The sequence below is a fragment of the Homo sapiens genome, chromosome 11 (assembly GCF_000001405.40).
Source record: "Homo sapiens chromosome 11, GRCh38.p14 Primary Assembly".
Lineage (NCBI taxonomy): Eukaryota > Metazoa > Chordata > Mammalia > Primates > Hominidae > Homo > Homo sapiens.
The window spans coordinates 2,720,141-2,742,433 of record NC_000011.10 but is presented as its reverse complement, the minus strand read 5'-3'; the positions used below and the strand labels follow the sequence as shown (position 1 = coordinate 2,742,433).

General features: G+C 59.8%; 1 protein-coding gene across 5 annotated transcripts in view, besides 10 other annotated features; it reads right to left on the bottom strand.

The window, feature by feature from the left end:
- KCNQ1 (potassium voltage-gated channel subfamily Q member 1) overlaps positions 1–22,293 on the bottom strand; it is a 404,098-nt gene that overhangs the window by 106,672 nt on the left and 275,133 nt on the right. The window lies entirely within an intron of this gene.
- Positions 703–1,339: an enhancer, noted in NCBI's record as "H3K4me1 hESC enhancer chr11:2762325-2762961 (GRCh37/hg19 assembly coordinates)". NCBI's record gives its function as "activates a minimal SCP1, AML or CMV promoter by ChIP-STARR-seq in primed H9 embryonic stem cells {active_cell/tissue: H9 hESC(primed)}" and the evidence as "EXISTENCE:reporter gene assay evidence [ECO:0000049][PMID:30033119]".
- Positions 2,910–3,768: an enhancer, noted in NCBI's record as "H3K4me1 hESC enhancer chr11:2759896-2760754 (GRCh37/hg19 assembly coordinates)". NCBI's record gives its function as "activates a minimal SCP1, AML or CMV promoter by ChIP-STARR-seq in naive H9 embryonic stem cells {active_cell/tissue: H9 hESC(naive)}" and the evidence as "EXISTENCE:reporter gene assay evidence [ECO:0000049][PMID:30033119]".
- Positions 5,562–5,731: an enhancer, noted in NCBI's record as "experimental_21101 CRE fragment used in MPRA reporter constructs". NCBI's record gives its function as "activates a minimal promoter by MPRAs in K562 erythroleukemia cells, with activity observed for the non-introgressed 11:2758018 or rs2283224 variant allele {active_cell/tissue: K562}" and the evidence as "EXISTENCE:reporter gene assay evidence [ECO:0000049][PMID:34662402]".
- Position 5,646: a transcriptional cis regulatory region, noted in NCBI's record as "Neanderthal adaptively introgressed variant 11:2758018 (GRCh37/hg19 assembly coordinates) or rs2283224 in the experimental_21101 CRE". NCBI's record gives its function as "modulates activity of the experimental_21101 enhancer by MPRAs in K562 erythroleukemia cells {active_cell/tissue: K562}" and the evidence as "EXISTENCE:reporter gene assay evidence [ECO:0000049][PMID:34662402]".
- Positions 7,248–7,749: an enhancer, noted in NCBI's record as "H3K4me1 hESC enhancer chr11:2755915-2756416 (GRCh37/hg19 assembly coordinates)". NCBI's record gives its function as "activates a minimal SCP1, AML or CMV promoter by ChIP-STARR-seq in naive and primed H9 embryonic stem cells {active_cell/tissue: H9 hESC(naive and primed)}" and the evidence as "EXISTENCE:reporter gene assay evidence [ECO:0000049][PMID:30033119]".
- Positions 10,517–10,686: an enhancer, noted in NCBI's record as "experimental_21090 CRE fragment used in MPRA reporter constructs". NCBI's record gives its function as "activates a minimal promoter by MPRAs in K562 erythroleukemia cells, with activity observed for both the introgressed and non-introgressed 11:2753063 variant alleles {active_cell/tissue: K562}" and the evidence as "EXISTENCE:reporter gene assay evidence [ECO:0000049][PMID:34662402]".
- Positions 16,532–17,527: an enhancer, noted in NCBI's record as "H3K4me1 hESC enhancer chr11:2746137-2747132 (GRCh37/hg19 assembly coordinates)". NCBI's record gives its function as "activates a minimal SCP1, AML or CMV promoter by ChIP-STARR-seq in primed H9 embryonic stem cells {active_cell/tissue: H9 hESC(primed)}" and the evidence as "EXISTENCE:reporter gene assay evidence [ECO:0000049][PMID:30033119]".
- Positions 17,703–18,602: an enhancer, noted in NCBI's record as "H3K4me1 hESC enhancer chr11:2745062-2745961 (GRCh37/hg19 assembly coordinates)". NCBI's record gives its function as "activates a minimal SCP1, AML or CMV promoter by ChIP-STARR-seq in primed H9 embryonic stem cells {active_cell/tissue: H9 hESC(primed)}" and the evidence as "EXISTENCE:reporter gene assay evidence [ECO:0000049][PMID:30033119]".
- Positions 18,603–19,503: an enhancer, noted in NCBI's record as "H3K4me1 hESC enhancer chr11:2744161-2745061 (GRCh37/hg19 assembly coordinates)". NCBI's record gives its function as "activates a minimal SCP1, AML or CMV promoter by ChIP-STARR-seq in primed H9 embryonic stem cells {active_cell/tissue: H9 hESC(primed)}" and the evidence as "EXISTENCE:reporter gene assay evidence [ECO:0000049][PMID:30033119]".
- Positions 21,305–22,204: an enhancer, noted in NCBI's record as "NANOG-H3K4me1 hESC enhancer chr11:2741460-2742359 (GRCh37/hg19 assembly coordinates)". NCBI's record gives its function as "activates a minimal SCP1, AML or CMV promoter by ChIP-STARR-seq in naive H9 embryonic stem cells {active_cell/tissue: H9 hESC(naive)}" and the evidence as "EXISTENCE:reporter gene assay evidence [ECO:0000049][PMID:30033119]".

The following is a 22,293-nucleotide window of genomic DNA, read 5'->3' as shown; positions in this document are numbered from 1 at the left end:
GCTGTATCAGGGTGCAGTGGCCAGGTGGCCGTGAGTATGAGACAGACTGCAAATGGGCACATGGGGACCGGCTTGAGGGCCTGAGGCCGCCTGATGCCTCTCATTGTAGCTGATGTATCTGATCTTGGGGCACAGGGCTTCCCCTGCCCTGGACTGCCCTGCCCATCTCATAGAGGCTGATTCTGGCCAGCACCACCCAGGGTCTCAAATCATGGTGGTACCCCCCAAGCCACCCGCTGCAGGGATGGTCGTTCTGTGCAAAACCTCTGTTCACCTCAAGGTCAGGGCAGAGGCAGGGCAAGTCTGTTTCTTTCAGAACTTATTTTTCTTCCTTCTACCTTCTAATGTGGAGAAAACCTAACCATGTCGCAGCACCCAGCAGAGTGTCTTGCAACAGGTTAAACAGTCAACGCTGACTCATATACATGAGAGCCAAGAGTTCTGGGGGTTACAAGGCGGCAGCCCGCCCTGGGGCAGGGGGATAGGAGGGGCGCTGCTGGGGGCCCCTGAGGGCTTCTGCAGATGGTGACCCACCCTGGCCCTGCCTGGGGTGGCAGAGAGTGGGGCCTTGGCCAGGAGAAGGAACTGGACCCTCCTAAGAAGGTCAAGGAGGAAAACCACAGGCGGAGGATCCCTGGAAGAGGCTCCCAGCCCCAGCTGTCTGCGCGCCCGCAGCTGCCCCTGCAAGGAGGCCGGCTGTGCTCCGGCCCGAGCACAGCTTCCTCAGCCTGCCCCCACTCACAGCGATGGGGTGATAATTGCAGGCCAGTGGTGGTGGAATGCTCTGGAATGTTCTATCAGTAAGAGAGGAGGCTAAAGGGCAGGAGGATAGAGACCCGAACAGAGCTCAGGCCTGGGTTGGAAGAGGGTGAGCTGGGAGGGCTGGGCCTGGGTAGGGGATAGGCTGTAGGTAGAAGGGATAAACAGGGGCACAGGGGACAGGCACCAGGTGTGGACAGGGGTCACACTGGGCATGCGTTTGTGCGTACACGTGTGCAGCCCCGAGGGGGCACACAGGGCCTTGCAAGTCTGGATAATAAAACAAAAAGAAAGAGCAAATATCTCCAGGGCCCCAATGCCTGCTGCACACAGCCACCCCGGCAAGCGCCAGTCAGACCTCTCTGGGGTGACTGCCTGGGCCACACAGTCACTCAGCGGCAGAGTAAAAGTCAAACCTGCCCTCTCACAGGAGGCCCTGTCCTCACACTCCCTCCAGCTCATAGGGGCCTCCCCTGTCTCTGAGGCCACCCTGAGACACTCTGAGGCCTGTCTGAGACTCACCAGAGACTCTTGACTTCCCCCGGAGGCAGCACTGCCTGAGCTGGTCATGTGTCCAAGCAGGGGCTGCAGGGAGACACAGGAACACCCCCCACCCCAGGGCGCCCCCAAAGGAGTCTATGCCCTAATCCTTGGAACTCACGCATGCGTCACTCAATTCCCCTTTGCCACTTGATTTCCTTTGAAGGGGAATCAAGGCTGCATGGAATTCAGGCAGCCAAGCAGCTGATCGTGCAATGGGGAGAAAATCCTGGGTTCTCTGGGTGGCCCAATGTGATGACAAGGGTCCTGATACGGGAAAGAGGCAGGGGATCAGAGTCAGAGGAGGAGACGTGGCCGCAGGGGACGCACAGAGTCTGTGATGTGAGGATGCCATGAGCCGCAGCCGCCTTTGAGGGTGAAGGAGGGGCCATGATCCAAGGGATGTGGGCGCCCCTAGGAGCAGGAAACTGCAGGACAGGGACTCTCCCTAGAGCCTCCAGAAGGGACCAGCCCTGAGGACACCTTGATTTTAGGCCACCAAAATTTTGGCGACTTGTTCCAGCAGCCACAGGAAACTAACCCAGGCCCCTCCAGAGACCCTGGCTCCAGCTGAGCTGAGGCCCCCAGGAGGCCTGGGTCCACCCGCTCACATTCGGGGCCTGCCAGGAAGGACTTCAAAGCCCGCGTGCGCTGTCCTCTGGGTGGGGCTGCATCGGGGTCCCTCGCCCCATCTGTCACTCATTCCATATCTTTGAACACCTGTACTATTGTTTGCTTAACATTGTTCCTTAAATAGACTCTGTTTCCTTATCTAAGTATATTTGGAGAGCCAGAAAAAAGTGACTTTAAGTGAAGGCAGTTGTCGAACATACACAATAAAAAGAAGAATTTGCTGAATTTGTTAGTTGCCCAGCAGCGTCGATGGGCAGCAGCACCCACTCCCCATCCCCCACCCTCCCTCCTGCCATTCCTGGAGGCTCCTCAGAGGCCAGGCCCAGCCCATCTCACAGAGGGGTAAAGAAGTTCTAACGTTTCTCATGGTTTGAGAGCAACCAGAGTCACTGGCACCCTGGGCGCCATGCAGGGCTTGCCTCTGTCTGTTCAGGGCCTAGGCAGCAGCACGCTCAGGGTGAAGCCACGGGGACCAGGCCGGCCAGCTCCGCACAGCTCCACAAGGAGCCTGCTCTAGTCCCCAGGGGCTACTGCCGCATGGCTCACCACCCCACCTGCACACCCAGGCCTCAGCCCCAGTGACTGGATCCCACTGGTGAGGCCTCTGTCCCGACCCATAGGGGCTGGCCTCCCTTAGGACACTGCTCCAAGCTACATCTGCAGAAAGGCTTCCAACAACCTGCCCCTCCCCTCTCTCTGTCCCCTGGACACGGTCAACTTGGCCAATACCAGCTGGGCAAGGACACCATACTGACAGGGCCGGCAGTCCTCGGAGCAGCCGACCTGCCTTAAGACGGAGCATGTCAGCTCCTGGAGCTCTGCGGGCCCAGTGCCGTGGATAGGAGCCATGGCTGGGCTGACAAACGCTGGGGCAGAGTGAGAACAAGTTCTTGTTAAAAAACCAGGACACCACCAGCCCCTGGTCTGAGATGGAGTCCTCAGCCTTTCTAGAATGAAATGGTGGTATTTCATTAGAGTAATGTTGTTCTACGAAATGTCCTTTTTTGCGTAATAAAAATGTTGCCCACCTATGTCCATCCACCTTTGGGGGTGGGGGAATATGTAGCGGACCTTTGATGGGGCTGTGACATCCAAATGGCTGGGAACCACAGATAGGGCAGAAACAACTGCCGGGTGCACATGTGTTACCATGTGACCTCAGGCAATCTCGGGCCTGCCACCTGTCATCTGTGGCTTTGGTTGGTCCATCTGTGTGATGGGCTCTCAGTACCTCACACAGGGGCTGGGTTGGTGTCACCTGTGGCCAGTGGCCAAGTATGAGCCAGCCAGGATGGGTGGGGGCCCTGCTGCGACCCTGGCCCTCCCAGACATGCTGGGCACACATGTGGGGTACCTGCCTGTGCCAGACGCACTGCACACACTCAAGGCCACCCCAGGACAGGGGATGTCAGTCCCACTTCACAGGGAGGCGGAGGCAGCAGAGAAGTCAGTCCTTTTTCAAAGCAGCATGGTGGTAGCAGGGCTCGAGCCATCCTCTGCAGACCCCTGGACTCCACCTGTACCAGGGTCCCCCCAAGCCCCAACCCTGCTGGTGAGTGACAGCCTGCACCTCGCTCACCCACCTGGCCGCAGGCACCTCACTGCACCCGCAACAACAGGGCAGGCCTGGGGCCAGCGTCTGATGATAGCCCACTCTTTGGCCTGCTGAGTGTCTGCGGAAGGCCAGTGTGCCAATGCCCAGGTGGCAGAAGGACAATCCCCCCAGGGTCTGTCTGTGTGGCCAGTGCTGCAGCCCACGTTCTGCTGGGAGGACAGCCTGGCCCAGCTGTGGGGCCCCCAGGAAAAGCAGACATCCACCCCACCCCTGAACACCCAGGAACCGCACAGGCCCCTCTCCAGGCTAAGCCCTGCATCTCCTGGTGACTCGGGGGCCCAGGAGGGATGGGACAGGCTGACTTGGCCTCCTCCAGCCTCCAAGGGCACTCTGCTCTAGGCCTGGCTGGGAGTGGGGGGAGGTTGGCCATGGCTCTGGCCAGGGTCTCTGCCCCCAGCAGAGGTGAGCAGAAGCCTGAGATTCCCTTGTCACACACGCTAGTGCCAGTGGCCCCGACCTGCTGCATTCTCACATGGCGCTTAGCCTGGAAGAAGGATCTTCTGCCTCTTTCCTTGCTTGGTACAAATGTCACCTCCCTCAGAGAGCCTTCCTTGATCTCCCGGCTTCATGATAACACGTCTGCCCACCCCCATGGCCAAGGAACCCGCTGTGCCCCCACACTCCAGACCCTGCCTCCCCCTGGGCTCAGTAAGGAACCCGCTGTGCCCCCACACTCCACAGCCCACCCCCACCGAGCCAGGGGCTCACTTCTGCCCTCGTCTCTCCTCCCTCCCCACCATTTGGAGCAGTTTCTCCTTTCCTCGTTCATCTTCTCCATTTCCTGCCCTGACCACAGGCCCAGGCTCCTGGGGCCAGCAGTCCAGGCCAGGCTCGGCCCCTCCCAGCAGTGGAGGAGGGTGTGGTTCTCCCTTGAATCCCTGCAGCCCAGGCCCAGGGCCCTGCCTGGAGCAGGAAATGGATGAAGCTGAGAGGACCCAGTGTCATTCTGTGCCCCCAGGTGTGCCTCCCCTGGGCAGGGGGCACCAACCCCTTTCCCTGCCTCCAGCCCACTCCTGTATTATGACCGCCTCACATCCTCATGTCCATGATCACAACAGCAGGCATCCATCACAGAGTTAGGGCTGTGACGGTCGCACCCTGCTGCAGCCCCACTCTCCCTGGCAGCGAGGTGGACATGGCATTAATAGGGACTTTGCTGTGACCCCATATCCCTGCCGGGCTCGGACCCACCAGCCGTGTTTTATGGTCTGCGAGGGCCGAGTCAGCACGAAGGCTTCCCGGCATTTTACACAAAGCTTCTTCGCCGTGAACGGAGTCAAATTCACTCACGTTGGGATCATAAATATAATTAGGAGACTTTTATTTTCAAGTAGCACTTCTGAAATCTATAAAATTAAGCTAATATACTGATTTTTAAAACACAAGAATTTTATTGCTCTGTGAGTCAGAGTTTGCCAGCCCACAAGGCCAGGAATTAACTCCTTGCAGCTCGCGGGCATCCAGCAGGCCTCCAGGGGCCCCCGTGGGTCTGGGCCTGCTGCACCCACTTGAGGTGCACATGCCCCAGGAGAGCAGCTTCCTGGGACAGAGAGGTGGCTGGGCAGTGGCCGGACATCCACCCACACGGCAGCAGCTGCCCGGGGCTCTCCCTCTCCACCGGCACCCCTTCACTTCTGTGCTGGGTGCCCTGGGAACAAGTCCAGATGCTCTCGGGATCCAGCCTCTGCTTACCCTGTGGAATACACTCCCCCCAGAATTTCCCTGCCTGCCTCCTCCTCTCCTGGGGGAGTCCTCCCTAATCCGCTGCCCTACCCTGAAGGCTGCCCCTTCCCGCTGGGATCTCTTCTGGACCCACTAATGGAAAGTGGTACCCCTGGCTCCTCCTCCTGGAATAATGGGATCCCCGAGCAGGGAGTGCTGGCGAGGGGCACTCAGGATGTCTTGGGAAGGCAGGCGGTGGGGGTCGGGACTGGGCTTCCTCAGCCACCCTCGGCTGGCACTTCAGGGTAGCCCGAGGCAGGCCCAGGCTCTGCGCCACTCCCCACCTGTGACTGTGGGGTCCCTGAGCCGTGGGCATCTTATCTTGACCGAGTTTTCACCCTTAGGCCCCACCAGGCCCAGCAGAGGCGCAGGGCGCATGCCAGCCAGCCAGGAACCCACCAGGGCAGCCGCATACCAGCTGCAGATGCGCAGGTGAAATGGGAAGCCGCCCTTTGCTCTGGGCCACACCTATGTCAGTGGCGGAAGATCACAAGGGACACCTGGAAGGGGCTAGGTTGGGGTTTGCAGGCTGTGTAACTGGGGGGTGGGAGGGACGGCCCTAAGCAAGCCGCTATGGCGATGAGCTGGCATTGACTCCCTCAAGGGTCCAGCTCCAAAGCCCCCTCCTAGGGCCATTGGCACCTAGCGCCTCCCATCCCCAAAGTGCACCTTCTCTCCAGGCACGGGGGCCACCGTCTAACCCCAGAGGCCCCTCAGGCTCTCCCAAGCCCACTGGTCACAAGTCTCAGGAAGACTCCAAAAAATCCAGACTCCCCAGAGGCCTGGGACCTGGGCCCTCGGCACTCCAGGGCTCCAACTATTCACAGCCCCCGGTGGGCCCCAGATCCCAGATACGGCCCAAGCTCGGTCGCCTTTAATCCCATTAGGTCCCCAAGACTTAGAATGGAGTTTCAACTGGTCCCAGTCCTCTAATCCCCTGGACTGCTGGTTAGGAAAGGCTTCCTTCAGATTTGGGAGCACAGGGTAAACTGAAGGGCAGGCAGGAAGCCTGGGCCCCTTCCCAGGTAGGTTCTGCCCAATGAGCCCCCTCTGGCATCTAAAGTATGTATAAGGACCACCCCCCAACCCCAGGCAGCTCATGGGCCTTCTGCACACACATACTGGAGGGCCAAGGAGCCCCCTCGCTTCTCTGTCCCTTTGTACACAGGGAAGGGGCTCCAGACACACTGGAGGAAGGGCGTGGGGTCCTCTCACCCACCTCCTCCTGCCTCTGACTGTGACTGTGTGTCTGGAGATGGGGTCTTATAAGAAGTAATTAAAGCAGAATGGGGGTATAAGGGTGAGCCCTAATCCCACCTGACTGGGGTCCTTATGAGAGGAGAAGGTGACTCGGGCACACACAGAGGGATGGCCCCATGAGAACACCGGGGAAGGTGATGTCTACAAGCCACGGAGAGAGGCTGCAGGAGGACCCAGCCCTGCAGCACCTTGACCTTGGACTCCAGCCTCCAGGGCTGTGAGGGGATGAATGCCTGCTGTTTAAACTGCCCCACTGTGGTCTTGGTGGTGACAGCGGAGTGGACTCATGTCATCCCCCAGCTCCTCCAAGTGCTCCTCAAGTGTGCTCAACAGAAAATGGTGAGGAGGGAGAGGGTGGTGGGCCAGGCCCTAGGATGCCTGCGGGGTGTGGATGGGTGGGTGAGGGGCACTTCAGGACGGTGGCTGAATGCAGTGGAGTGTGGCTTCAGGCATCCCTGGCCTAGGAGGGGTGGGAAGGAGCAAGCAGTGGTTGGGCTCTGAAGGAAGGGGAGAAGCTTGCGGGAGGGGAGGTGGGGGCGGCCATGGCCCACCCTCCACCGGGCAGGGCCTCAATTGCCATTAGCCTGTCCCCACCTCCCACCCCAGGGCCCCAGGCATCTCTGGCCATCCAGGGGCCAGGCTGTCCCCCAGGGCCTCAGGGCAAGTGGCGTCTCATAGGGGGTCACCATCAAGGAGAGCCCCCTGAGCAGCCCTTCCCTGGCTCTCACACACAGTCCCTCCCTGTCCTGCTGCGGCGCTGCTGTCAGGTTTCACACGTTTTATGGGGGAGTTCAATGTAAGCCAGATGCGCGCTGACAGCCACGGCACAGGTGATGACAAGGCAGGGCTTCCCTGGCACATGTGCCTCTTGTTAGTGTGCCCTCCGAGGCGCTTACCCCACCAGCCTGGGGCAGCGTGCACAGCCGGCTGGGCACGCGGCCACTCCGGGGCACATGTGTCGCACTGGAACATGCTGCTGGCCCAGAAGCCTCCTGGAGACATCACCTCTGCGGTGGTCCCAGCCGGGGCCTGGGAAGCCACAGCCAGGCCCCAGCACAGGAGGTCATCCCTATTTCACAGTGGGGGAAACTGAGGCTGGAGGAGGCAGGAGGCCCATCCAACACGGTTTATGGCGGAGGAGCGGTGGTCTTGCCCTCGCTTCTGTCTACATAGCAGCTTCCAGGATTACCTCTCACCTCCCTGGCTGGCACTGAATGTGCCTGGGACCTGACTCATCTCTTCAGGAAGCTACCCCCGAGACCTGCTCCTACTCTCCAGTCCTTCAGGGCCTCGGAAAACCCCTGTTATCCCCCACCCAGCAGCCGCAGCAAGCATCCTGAGATCAGCCTCGACAGCCCCGCTCCCCACATCTGGCTCTCAGCCAAGGGGCCCGTCCTACCCTGCTCCCCACATTCTGCCCATCACCAAGGATCCCGTCCTGCCTTGCCCAGCACAGCTGGCTGCGGGGCCCCGGGGACAGTGCTCCCCCGACCTGCGGTGGCCGGGGGGCTGTGAAGCTTCCTCATTCAACCCATCCATTGCTCCCCTGCCTCTACCCTTGGTGCTCCCCGCCACCTCACGGAAAGTCCAGCCTTCTAGGCGCCTTTTGGCCACCCCTGCCCTGCTCTGCAGCTGGGCTCCGGCCTGAGGCCTCTTAGGACCTGACCCTCCCAATCTGCCTCTGGCCTGTGCTTTGGATGGTTCATTCGTTTATTCTTTGGACGTCCACCATGCACCTCTCACACACACCTGCGGGCCCTGGGGCCGGAGCAGGACCACCCCTGCCAGTGCTAGACAAGCTTGAAACTGTGCCTGTGATCAGAGGCCAGAACCACTAGAAAGGCAAGGCTGGGGCTGGGAGAACCGCAAGGTGGTCCTGATTTAGAGCGCGCAACTGCTCTGAGGAGGATGTTCAGGGGAAGCGTGGGTTGAGGCCTGAAGACTCAAGAGGATTAAGCAGGGAAGAGGAGAGCGTGTGCATGTTTCGGGGGTGGTGCGCCTGGCAGGGCAGGGGAACAGCGGGCGCGAAGGCCCTGAAGTGGGGGGGGAGAGAGAGAGAGAGAGAGAGAGAGAGAGAGAGAGTGAGAGAGTGTGTGTGTGTGTGTGTGTGTGTGTGTGTGTGTGTGTGTGGAAGGCCTGAAGTCCCCCTCCTGCCCGCTAGACCCCTCTCCACTGCCTCTGCCCTCCAGGAGGCTCTATAGCTTCAGATCTGAGGCCAAGAGGGCAGCACACTTGGCCTGGCTCCTCCCCCAGGGCTGCCCAGGCCTGGCTGTTCTTCCTCTCAAGGTGCCCACCGTGCCCGACTGTCTCCCTAGGAGCTGCCAGCAGCAACCTCGGGGGTCCCCTGCTACTCTTTGGGGTCCCTATGCTCTACCTGTATCTTTGCAACTAGAATGAGTCCCCCTCACTAGGGGTACCACCTATGGCTGCTGTCCCTGCCTGACACCGCCCAGGGAAGCCAAGCCGTGGGGAGGGCCTGGGCCAGCCTGTCTGGAAGGAAGCTGAGCAAAGGAGACTGAGGGTTTGTGGGAAAGTGAGGGTCGGGGTCGCAGTGAAGGAGGGCGAGTGTGGGGAGCCCCTGTGTTGAGTGCAGCTGAGAGGCCTGAGTGGGGTCAGTGCTGATGGAGGATGCCCCTTCCCTCTGGACACACAAAGGAGCACTAGGGAAGGCAGAGAGAGGCCTGGGGGTGGGGGTGGGGGTGGGAGTGGATCTCAGAGCTCAGGGCTCTGCTCTTCAGACCCCAGCTGCGGGGCCAGAGCCGTTCTGAGGGACACTGGAGACGTGCAAGGCTGGGTGATGCCTCCTATTTTACAGAGGGGGAAACTGAGGCTCCAGAAGGTAAGGGGCTGGCTCCAGGTGGAGGATGGGCTCAGGTGTGGCTGTGTCCCAGACCCCCTCTTCCCAGGACCCTGGCTGGCTTGCTGCCTGTGGGTGGTCACCAGCCCCCAGCAGGAGCCTCGAGTTTCTGGGCCTCCAGAGGGTGGGTGGGACCAGAGCCACCCCTGCCTCAGGCAAGATGGGGCTGGGGCCCATGGGGCAGGGGAGACCGCCAGGGCAGGGGTCCCCTCCCTGGGCCCCAGTGGGTGGGACAGAGGCCCCCAGGCTCCGGCTGCAAGGCGAGGCCTCGGTGGCGGCCACAATAAATATGTTTGTTCAAGGGAAGCCAGGCTGGGAGCTGTGTGCGCCGGCCCGGTGAGGAAGAAAAGGCCGCTTGTGCCTTGCACACTGGGGCGATTGTTCCTGCTCACGCAACTGCTGCCCCGTGGCCGGAAAGGTCAGACGGCCCTCGGGCCCCGTCGGAAGCACCGGTGCCTCGGGCCCCTTCGCTCGCGCCTGCTGTAACATTCGCCTGCGCTCCTCACTGCCCGGCTGCATCCACATCACCTCCAGGCCTTGGCACGGGGAGAGAAGGTACCAGGCAAGGTCTGAAAGATGGCCCAGCAAAGGCGAGGGAAGAAACGAAGCCAGGAGTCCCCTGCCCAGCCCAGGCGTCAGGAATAGTGTGGAAAGAGGAGGCCCCAGCTGGTGGCCTCAGCACCCTGAGGGAGTGGCTCTGGCCCCGAGGGTCTTCGCAGTGCCCACGGGGCAGCTTGTTTTGTGGACTATTGTTTGGATATTGGGGGATGCCAAGGTGAGGGTTGGGGAGAGGCCCAGGAGCACATGAGAGGTGCCAGCAATGCTCCTGAGGCAAGACCAAGCATCGTCCTCACCCACCAAACAGAAGGCTGAGAGGCACTGCCTGGCCGCAGCCCCGCTTCAGAGCAAATGGAGTCGACAGAGGCCACCACGCAGGCACTCCTGGCTCTCCCACAATTTAAAAACCCTAAAGGGCAAAAATCAGGAACTCAAGCCTGGTTTCCTCCCATTCCTCTGAAGGGGGAGGAAGGAACACAGGAGCCCACGGCTTGCAGGCCACACCTCGCTGGTCCCCTGCTGGCAAGGCGGCCTCCCTCTCCTCTCCTCTCTGCAGGAGACAGCTCTGTGAGATGGCTTCATCCAAAGGGCCCTCAGAATTGTGGTCCTGATGGTGAAGGCTGTGAGCAGCCGCTGCAGTGGTGTGATCAGACGCTCTAGCTGAGTGAGTTACCCACCACTGTCTTCCACCCGGAAGAGCTGGGAGATGGGGCCATAGGAGCCTCCTGGGTGGCTGGCAGAGGGGACAGGGACTCTGGACCAGCCCTCCCCTCCCTTGCTTCAGGCGCCTTTCTCTGGGCCTCAGGCCCTCCTGTGTGCGCTGCTGGGGGTGATTCTAGGAACCTGATCTCCATGACCACAGGGTCCCCCAAAAGATGGGTCTGTTCCGGAGGGCTTGCCTCAAGCAGCGAAGGGGACTCTGACATGGGAGGAAAGCCCTCTCCTGGGTGAGAACCTGGAGCCGCACCTCCTGTCCCGAGAGATGGCCGCCCTGGGTGTCCGCCTTCCCTGTGTCCGGTGCCCGAGTGGGCGTGTGGTGGGCGGCCTGCAGTGCTGGCTCCCTTTCCCAGGCCTCTCCCGCTGACACACAGCCGGAATGTGCCAGACTCACCAAGGCCTGAATTCCCGAGGGGTCTGGCATGCCGACTGTGGGACGAGGGCATTTGGGCATTGTTCTCTCCATGCAACAGTGGGGTGCATGGGCGGTGAGGCCCCTTGGATTCCGCCTGCCACCCTTGGCTTTATGAAGCTGCACCAGGTCTGACTCAGGCCTTGAGGAATTCAGCACCCCCTCGAGTGGGCACAGGGGACTGTACCTAGGGGCTGCCTCCCTCTGCCAGGCTGGGCAACGCAGCCCCTGCCGTGAACAGAGGTGCCTGGCTGCCCTCTCTTTCCCCCAGGTCCCTGAGGACCTTTGGGTCCAAGGTTGAGCTGTGAGGCCAAAGGAAGTGTTTGCTCCCAATGCAGGGCAACAAGGGCCTTCCTTTTCTATGAGCAAAGCTGGGCTCCCAGAGAGCGGCGGCTGGGAGGAGGCTGGGCCGGGGCTCTCATTTCTGTAGTTGGTTCAGCTGGGGGCAGCCTCTGGTCCATCTGGCCTGGTGCCCAGCCCTGCTTCTGGCCACAGCCACAGAGGCCTGCCACCAAAACGGCTCCAGCGTCTGTCCCCCATCCCTCCATTCTTCCCTCCTCTGCCCTTCGAAACCACCATTACTGAAGAACCCTGCGTCTCCCAGGGGCAGCCCCTCTTGGACCACCTGCAGCAGTTCATACCATAATCCGCCTCCCCCAGGGTAATGGGGCCTGGATAGGGAGACTCTGTGGCCATACAGGTCTCACCTCTGCACTGGATGCCTAGGGACAAAGTCCACCTGCCTCCTGGGGCCTCCCAGGCCCCCTGCAGTCTGTCTCTGCCAGACCCCACCACGCTGCTATTGACCGGCTCCTCCAGATCACCCCTGCACTCCCCATAAGAGAAAGAGGGAGGAAGGGAGGTTGTGAAGAGCGCAGGACAGAAGCAGAGACAAGGGGGCCGTGGGGAAAGGCCACAAGCCAAGGGAGGTGGGGCCTCCCTTTGAGCTTCCAGTGGGAACCAGCTCTGCTGGCTCCTTGAATGTAGCCCATGTCGGACATCTGACCTCCAGAGCTGTTAGATAATAAACGTGTCACTTAAAGCCACTAAGTTTGTGGGAATTCATTACAGCAGCCGTAAGAAGCTAAAATGGTCCCTCTCAAAACAGTCCTGAATCTACTACTTCCTCCTCGCCCTCCTGGTCCAGCTGCCATCCTCCGCCTGGACTAGTGCAGTGGCCTCCCTCCTGGTCTGCCAGGTCTGTCCCAGCCCCTCAGTGGTCCATTCTTGGCTCTGCAGCCAGAGTGACCCTGTTGCCATCTGCGCCAACCACACCGCACTCGGGGCCAGCCAGGGCTTCACGTGTCCTAGCTCTCGGGGTCCCAGCACATGGGTCTCCTTGCTGTCCTGCCAGCCTGTGGGCCCATCCCCACTTCAGGGCCTTTGCTGTGGCTGTACCCTCTCTCCACAATGCTCTTAGCCCTGACACCATGAGATTCACCTCGCTTTGGGGACACTGTAAGGTCCTCCACGACCCCATCCACAACAGGCCCCTTCCCCAAACCAGCCCTGCCTGTCTTTGTTTTCCCTTCCAAGCACTCTGTAGATAAATACTAAAGTGCAGCTGTCCCTCAGCACCCATGGGGACCTCCCGCAGGTACCCAAATCCACAGGTACTCAAGCCCCCGATACGAAATGGTGTGATACTGACATGGAGGCCACATACATCCTCCCATCTCCAGACCACTTACGATACCTAACAACACAAATGCTGCGTGACCCACTCTATTGTTTAGGGAATAACGACAAGACAAAAAGCCTGTACAAGTTCAGATGTTCAGCACAGATGCAACTTTCTTTCCAAACATTTTCCATCCACAGTTGGTTGAATCCATGGATGCAGAGCCCTTATACGTCTCCCATTGGTGGACATCCCTTTGGAATTTCGTATCAGTTTTGTATTGTCACTGCTGTCCCTGGCACCTGGAGCAGGCATTCAGTATTTGTGGAGTAAATGCCAACACATCTCACTTTAAGGACTTCACTATCTTCTTTCATTTAATCCACCTGGCAGTGCTACAATGTGGGGACTTTATTACCCCCATTGTATAGGTGTGGGCACCGAGGCACAGAGATTTGTCACGTCCAGGGCAGTCACTCGAGCCCGCAGCATGGCCTTAGCCCTGTGGCAGGGGGCTCAAGGGAGAAAGAGCTAGGCCAGACCAGCCCTTGCCCCTAGGCCTTGCTAAGCAGCTTCTCGGCAACAGGTCTGGACCCTCGGCCCCGGGAGAGCCCAGCTCATGGGTTCCTGGCCCGAGCGCCCTTTGTGCCCGCCTGGGGCAGGCGGGGGGTGGGAGTGTGCTACATAAACGGGCTATTGTTCTGTGACTACAGTTGCCAGCCCTGCATGCACAACAGCCCCTGTGTCTGCAGTGGCTCCCAGAACCAATCAACACCTTATCACGAGCATTAATCACCCCGCTATCTGCCCCAAATCAGGCAAACACTTCTGGGGACTTCAAACCCCTGACTGCACAGAAGTTTCTGTGTAATAATAGATTAAGTTTCTGGTGGTTCAGCAGCATCCACTGCGGCCGGCCCTCTGGGGTGCTGAGGGGCCAAGGGCTGCCAGGACCAGGAGGACGCTCTGCTCCGGCCTCAGCTCCTCCTGAGATGCTCCTCCTGCAGCTGGAGCCCTCAGGGACTTCCTGTCCCCCTGGCACTCTGGGCCAGCAGAACCCCATGCCCAACTGGCCACCCTGAGCCTCCGTCCTGTAGGCCAGCTTCTGGGAGGATGCAGTAGGCTCAGGCCCCGTGCCCTCACGCTCCCAAGGCCCGGCTCTGCTGGTGGGCTGTGCCAGAGTGTTTTAGAATCTCCTAGAGGAAGTGACCTGGACCCTAGTGGGCGGGAGGCTAGCAAGCCAGAGGCTGCAGAATTAGTAGGAAGCCAGCCTAGCTCTTGTCACCAAGCACCAACCCCCGGTTCTAGAGTCAAACGCTCGGTAGGTCCTATAGAAAAAGCAGCTAACCAGTTGGCGTTCAGCCGGCTGTGGTCCCCTGAGGGCTGGCGCCGGGTCAGGCATAGCACTGTGAACAAGAGTCCTGGCCCTGGCCTCAGAGCACAGCCACCTGGGGTCGGACTTACCCTACGAGGTGCCAGGAAGAGCCTTGGGAAGCCACAGAGAAGTCAGGGCAGAAGGGTGGGCGAGTGGCCGCTCCAGAGGTGGAGGGGGCAAAAGAGGTGAGGCCTGTGTGAGGGGAGGACAGAACCATCGGAAGTCCTGGAAGGGATTTGTGCAAAGGCCCTGGGCAAGAACACTCTGGAAGGAGCTGAAGGACGAGGAGAAGGCCAGAGTGGCTGGGGAGGGAGGAGGGGAACAGGGAGGCAATGAGGCTGGGAGGTGAGCGGGAGCGGTCACATGAACCTCACGCAGGGTAAGAGGGTTAGATTTTGCACCACATATGATGGAAATGAAGCGCTTTGACTAGCGCGGCCCCGGGGGCCATCAGATGCTCCCTCTGCCTCCACAGCAAAGCCCCACAGTGCCCACAGAGGAACGAATGCCTGGCCACGTCCCTGCCCCTTCATAGTGCAAGACGAGCCCACACCAGGCCAGGTGCTTGGTGTTGTACATCGACACCGTTGTGGAATCCTGGGCTCTGTCTGCTCGCCCTTCTGCATACAGCCCTTCTCCATTCAGCTCACTCTGCCCTAGGAGGCTGATCTCTGCAGGTTATGTCCACAAGCTCCTGGCCCAGGGCTTCAGATTGGGTCTAGCCAACTGGACCCCTGGCAGGAGGCAAGGAGGGAGGAGAGCGGATCCGGGGTGTCTGCTCCTGCTCCCTGCCGTGGAGCTGCTGGGGCCAGTTGTGAGCCTCATGTCAGACAGCCATCATTCTGTTAAGCTCAGGCAACCTCCTCCTCCTCTTTATTCCTCGAGTCTGGGGTAGGATTTCCCCCAGGGACACTACCCCATGTTCCTGCACAAGGCCTGGTGGTCCCTGACACCTGACTCACACAGGAATGATCCTTGGGTGCCGTCCTGCGCCCCACACGTAGCTACCGTGATTGTCCCTGTTTTACAGATGAAGAAACAGAACCTCAGAGAGGGCTTGAGCTGCCCTGGGCCCCTGAGCTGGGATTCAGACCCTGATGTGTCTGCCTCCAGGGCCTGAGCACATCCCCCAAGCTGCCTCCTTGTCCCTAACATCTGTAGACGCTGAGCTTTTGAGGCCTCTGTTGCTCCAGAGCCCCACTGCCCCATGGCTGCTCCTTCCTGAAATCTGGCTTATGTCTGTCTCGCTCCTACAGGGGCAGATATATCACAGGACCTAAGAGGTAGAAGCAAACCTAACAGGGCAGAGGAAAGGGCATAGCACAAACCCCCAACCAAGTGGCTTAAGTGTCCCCTCCCTGCTGCCGACCTCCATGCCCAGGGCCAACCCTTCACCTGGGGGCAGGGACAGGGCTTGGAGAGTCAGGATTGGAGGCAAATGTGTTCCCTTTCTCACTGCTTTTGGGCTTCAAGTGTTCTGCTGGGAGCTACTTGGGAGGGGCCTCTGGAAGGGCAGACCTGGCGCCCATGCCAGTGGGGCACGGGGGATACCTCTCTGCCAAGCAGTGAGGAGATGGGCACAGTCACAGGAGAAGCACATTCCATGGGAAAGCCGGCTTTAAAATCACTATTTCCCCCGTATTAAAGTCAGCTCCTATTCAGGCCAATGCAGAAAAATAAAATTTTGGGGGAAAATATAAACTACTATTCCTCCCTGCTAGGAATGGGTCATCCCCTTTTTCTCTGGCCTCAGTCCACCAGATCTTCACCGGGGTCCCACCCAGTGTCCCTCTGGACTTCTGGCCACCTCCCTCACATCAGCCATGGTGGGGCAGGGGTGGGGTGGGGGACGGCTGGAACCTGCAGTGGGTGGTGTCTCCGCCTGGGGCCTCAGTTTCCCCACTCTGACAGGGCAGCATCCATCTCCTGAGCTGTGTCTGTGCCCTTTTGGAAACCTACTGCTGGCCCAGGAAGAGCACCACCCTCACTCGACACACCGTCTGTGATCTGAGGATGCTGCAGTTCCCCCAAACCCATCCAGGGGCCCTAGGATCCTCAGGTCAGGGGGCCAGGCAGCCACTCCTTCATGAAGACTCCCGCCCATCTTGCCACGTCAGCACACATCTCGTGAGCGAGCTCAGCTTCTCTGGGCCACTGCCCGGGACCCACCCTTGGCCTGCTCCTCTGCCCTGGCCAGCTGGAAGCAATCTGCCTGGAGCAGGCAGGTGGTCCTCCTTAGTGGGCTCCCAAGAGGCCGTCCCCAGCCCTTCACCCACGCAGAGGTGGCTCTGTATGCATGGCTGCCTGGGGCCCCTTCTCTGCCGGAGTGAACCAAGTGCTCTGGAATTCATGAAGAAATCAGGGGTCTTTAGCCTGCTGTTTTTCTTGGCGAGGCCTTATCACAAATTAGTGGGGAAGCCCGAAGGTTAGGGTTTCAGTTAGTTCAGCAGAATCTGAGGAGCGGGGAGTTGGCCTCCTGCCTCTCCAAGTCAGAAAACGCTTGGCCTGTGGGGCCCCAGGGAGCTCTCAGAGCCCAGGATGATTAACCAGGCAGGTGACCTGTGCTTTGGGTGGGGGCGGGGGTGGGGCCTGGGGGAGATAGCTTTCACACAAGCTGACAGGTTTCACAAAGCCCAGTGATCTCTCGTACCTTCCCCAGGCTGCCCTCGGCTGGAGTGCACAGCCTGTGGGCCTGGGGCTTTGGCACTGAAGGCAGGGCAGGGCGCCCAGCCTCATGGAAAGGGTACGTTCGGGAAGGGGGCGAGGGCAAGTCTGACTTGGGTTCCAGGGGCAGCCCTTTGAACTTGGCGACTTCACGTGAATGCACTTCCTAAACCACAGCTAAACGCAGAGGTTCTATATCAGTAGCTCGAAGACGATTGGGGACCCCCAACCGGACAAATGGCAGGTCACCTCCACGCAAAAAGTGGGCTCTTCTGAGGAAAAAGCAGGCCAAGTTGCCTCTCCTGTTTTGGAAGGCAGGAACCCGAAAGCCAAACCACTAAGTATCCACCAGCCACTCACGAACTCAAAAAAGCTGGGAACATTTCTGGCAAGCGCTGGTCCCGTGGCTGAGCCCCCGACCCTGGAGTGTTTCACAAGTCCAGCCGTCTGTCCCGGATGGATTCTGGGAACTTGTCTTAGGCTCACCACTGGGTCTGAGCACAGATGGCCGTCGGCTTCCTCCTGTCTCCACGTCAGGAATCCGTGCCTGCCCCACCCTGCCCTGGCTCTCCCCTGGAGCTGAAACGGGTCCAGCACTGCTTCAAGACGTGAGCTTGTTTAGGAGTCATTGTCTGATGCTTCTCAGACCCTGTGCTTCTCTATTGGGCCCACAGGCTTTTCTTAAACGGACAGGGACCCTGGTGGCACACCAAGTTCCAATCCAGTGGCTCCTGATAGCCACACCAGACCCTGCCCTCGGCACCCTGTCCAGGTTACTGGATCAGTCATCTCTACCCTGTGACAGAGACCACCGTGTTCCCATTTCACAGTTGAGAACGCTGAGGCCTGGTACCTTCCAGTGCCTTGTTCCAGCTCCATACGATGGCCAGAAGCTTCAGCCCAGTGACTCCACCCTCTGTGGGTGAACTGGCCCCTTCCCCCAACTCTGAGCCCTGGTTCTGTTGCCTGTGTCTCCTTGGGCAGGTCCCCACGTCCTCCTCTGTGAGCCCAGGACAATCACAGTGTCGCCTCCTGGGGAGCGAAGTGAGAGGGAAGGGCAAGGCTTGGGTGCAGCTGCAATGGCACCCAAGGGGAGAAGCTGTGTTTCCGCGGGAAGGGGTTCCTAGTGGGGTCCTTCCTAGGTGACAAGGCCCCTTCTGCCCTCAGTGCAGCCACGGCCTTGCAGGACAGCCTGCTCGCTGCCACCCACCACTTCTCTCTCTTTGCCCTCCCACCCTCCTTCCTCCAAGGGCAGTGTTAGCTTGCCAGGGAGGGTTCGAGGCCTAGGGCTGGCGGGACAGGGACCCTGGCTGCCAGCTCCATTCCACTGTGCAGAAACCCAATCCGGGCGGGAGGACGCTGTCACTCCTGAGGATTTAGGGCCGTCACCTGGTGGAGCGGGAGGGCTCTCCTCCCTGACAGAATAAGTGGTTACATGCCGAAAGGTGACACCGCAAAGGGGTCCTGAGCCGGGAGGAGGACTGTATATCATCTGAGCCTGGATCTGTGCGTGTTTTTCTTTCTGTCTTTCCTTCCTGGTCTCCTTGTCGCGGCCCCCTGGCGATCTTACCAGAACGTCCTGGTCCAGATGTGATTCTCTATCAAAAGCCTGGGCCCCCAGGCACCACCGGAGGGGCTGTGTGCAGAGGTGGTGGGGGCTGCATAGATGGAGTACAGGGCTCTGTGTCAGACACAGAGAGCCATGTTCTGATTTCTGCTCCCCCGGTGAAAAGAGTAAATGCCTCCACGCCCACGGCAGATACAAAGGCTGAGATGCCCCATCCCTGCGGCACATCCCCCAACGTGTGACTTCCTCGTCCCGAGGTCCCCCTGGAATCCGTGACTTGCTTTGACCACCATGTCATGAGCAAATGGGACACAGAGAGGCTGGAGTACATGTGCACCGAGTGGCTGGGAACCCTGCGGCCACCAGCGGTTAGTGAGGCCCCACTAGCTAGTAGAGGAGAGGCTGTCTGCCAAGGGTCTTCTCCGGGAGCAAGGCCATCCTAGACCACTCAGCTCGGACCAGTCCACCTGCCCAGCCAACCGCTAGGTGTGAGGGATTCGAGGCTGTTGCTACTTCGAGCTGCTGAGTTTGAGGCTGGCATCCCCTCTTTGGACTTCAGGGTCCTCTCTAAATGCCACTGCCTCCAGGCCCACTGCTACAGTAAGGACAGAACAGCGGACCAGGTGTGGGGCTGCCTGTGTAGGGCTTCCACGTGCCACAGCTGCCAAGTACCACCTGGTCTCACCTAACAGCTCCTCTCTCCCTGCCCATTCAGCAAGAAGGGTATTGTCACATCCCACTTTACAGATGGGGACACCAAGGCTCTGAGACGGAGGGGCTTGCTAGGAGTCTTGAGGGTTGCAGTGTCCCGGGGGAGGCTGCGGAGCCTCCTCGTCCCTCACTTGCCCCAACGGTAAATGGGACAGGGCCGTGGGCACCTTGTCCAGGGCGGCAGGGAGTGGGGTAAGCAGCTGTGGCAGGTGTGTGGAGCACCACGGACAAGCAGCACCACACCCCTCTCAGGCCACCACGGAGGAAGGCGGAGCCAAGAGGAAGGCAGAGCCACAGAGGAAGGCGGAGCCTGTTTTCAGGATCCGTCTGGGATCCCCCCTGTCCTCTCCGCTCAGACCACCCTGGCACGGGAATGGAGGCCAGGAGGCTTTTGGGCCGCAGCTGGCCCACAAGGGTGTGAGGTGAGCCTGCCCCGAGGCACCCCAGGTGGCAGCTGCAGTGCCCAAAGACCTTCATCTGCCAGTTGGTCCTGGGAGTGACACATGCCCCCACCCCCACTCCGCTAAGGCAGCACTTGCCATAGCTCCCACTCAGAAGGGTGGCTCAGATACTGCCTCACAGGGCCCTGGTGTCAGTTGGCTGAGCCTGGTGGGGTAGAGGGAAGGAGGGAGGAAGGGTCTTGGTCACAGGGCACAGCTATCTAGGGGCAGCTTAGCCACCTCACTAAGTTCCAAGAGGCTGCCATAGCCTATTTACTAAACAGGTCATGACTCCCAACCACGTGAGAAGGGAAGCACTCTCGGTCCGCCACTGCCGACCCTGGCTACGGCATCGCTCTCATCAGCTCCCCTAGGACCTCCATGTGGCCAAACCCCACTGCCAGTTCTATTCTCAGCTTCAGTGGGACCCACCAGCCGTGGCTGACATGCTGGCCTCTCCTTCCTTAGAAAAAGCTCCTCCTGGGGGTGACCAAGCCTCCACCTTCCCGATCTCCTTTGTGAGGTCCTCCTTGATCCCTGACCTCTGAATGCTGCAGTCTCTGGGCTCAGTTCCAGGCTGCAGCCCCCATGGTCCAGCACTCAGCTCCCAGGATGGGCTGGCCTTGCCTCGTTCTGTACAAATGTCACTGCCACAGAGAGGCATGCACCCGAGGCCCGCCCTGGCCTCCCATAGTCCTTTCCTATCTTCACCCAGCCTACCTCTCTCCACCTGTCAACACCTGGTAAGATGACACATCACCTGGGACCCCCAAAAGGCAGGAGCATGCTGGCTTTGTGGCTCCCCAGCCCTGACTCACCAAGCTCAGGACCTCAGGATCCAAGCTTGATCCCAGGGGCACAGGGCTTCCCATACCCTGTGCCTGCCAGGACCATAGTAGGCTGTCTGTGTGGGCCCTGCGACCCCATGGAGGTGAGGCGGCCACCAAATGGAGGACAGGAAAGCTCGGCATGTGCCTCCCAGGGGCAGGGGGTGTGCGTAGGGACAGGCTCCTTGGGCTTGGGGTGAGGGTATCCCCAGGCAGTGGAGTTGGGTCTCACTGGAAGTCCCAATGAGAAGTCCACGGTGGGGTCTCCCTGCACTGGCAAAGGGGACAAGGCCTCTTAAAGGGGCCAAGGGACAGATGGATGGATGGACAGACAGCTCCAGGTGAACCTCCTCGGAGGCTCGGTCAGCCTCCAGCCAGGGCTGCTGCAGGCCAGGCAGGCCGAGGGGACCATCACCACCGCTGCTGTCGGAAGAGACAAACGGCCGGAGGCCTGCCTGGCGTGATCTGCAGCATCAGAAGTGGCCCAGAGTGAGTGGGTCCTCCTGAAACACCCAGGCTCTGCTGCCCCCACCAACTCTACGCGAGGCCTCCCACCCCTGCAGGCGGAGTAAAGCCTCCCAAAGGCTGCTGACCGCCGGAATGTAAATCCCTAGAAATATTTCTTGATACAATTTGCTGATTCCACTCACACCTTGGGGGTGAAACACATCCCTGGACCTGCCCCTCTTGCGAGCTGGAGACAGCAATTTGCTGATCTGCCAGCCCTCTGAGGCAGGGAGGCTGAGCTAGGACTGGGAACAGCGGCCTCGCTACAAAGCGCCCAGCGGGAGTCGGCTTATTAGCTGCCTCTGAACAAAGGCTGCAGAGGCCCGGGGGTCCCTCACGAGCAGACCCCTGCGGGTAGCTTTTCAACCCCCGAAGTGCTGCCTTTTAACTCGACCTCCACGGTAGGACAAACAGGGGGAAGAAATTAGTCGTGGATGCTGCTGGATGTTTCGTAACTTGTCGAGTTGTCTCCCTGGAGTTGGTCTGGCCCCAGCAACATGTCCCCCCGGCGTCCAGAATGGAAAACATGAGACAGGCCCCCACCAATCCCCTCCCCACCTTTTAGAAACTCTTTACAAGCTTTAAGAAACAAATACCCTTTCTTGCATCTGGGGCCTGGCTGCTGCAGGTGTCCAGGGACCGTCCATGGCTCTGGCCTGGAAAGCTGTGCCTGCCCGAGTCCCTGGAAATCTGAGAGCCCCTGGGATGAGGAAACCCTGGGAACAACCTCATCTCCCTCAGGTAGCCAAGTCCCCAGTGGCCTCGAGGTCCAGGCCAGGCCCCAACTCCCAGCAAGGCCGTTCCCCAACTCAACACCATATAATGAAGAAAACGAGGACCATTTGCCCCAAATGATCCAAGGGCACGACTTCCCATTGGCTGAGAGGGACACACTATGAACCCCACAGGTAGCATGGACTCCTAGGTTCTGGGAGCCGCCCTGCAAAAGGGGGAAGGGGCTGGTGGTGGCTAATGCTGTTTCCGTTTCAGTGGCCAAGGAGGCTCCCCTCTTCAGCCTTGACACCCAGGCTGACACCCCCAACATAGGACACTCAGAGAAGGACCCACAGGAGCTCAGAGTTCTGGACAGGTAGGGGTTAATGGCACACTGCTTGCTCTGGTCAGCCCTGGGTCCCTCTCCCCTTACAGAGAGAGGCCAGGTGAGCTTCGAGGGGGCTGCCTCTGCTTCGAGAGGCCTTCTTGAGGCCAGCAGCTTCCTCCTGGCCTTCAGCTGTCCCCAGGCAGGGCCAGCACATGCTCAGCACGAAGGAGGCCTGACTGTAGCCGGGCCCCGGAAGGCGGCTGAGCCAGGGAGTACGTGCCTGAGTGTACACATAGGATGGATGAGGAGAGCTGCCAGGACACTCAAGCCCCCATGAGCCCACCGATACTTTTTAAAGATAACAAATGGCAAGGGCACTTGGCTTCTCGATTCTTTACACATCCATCATGCCCACAGTCCATTTGGAAGACTGTGCTGTCTAACATACTAGAAGCGTCTCCTTGCA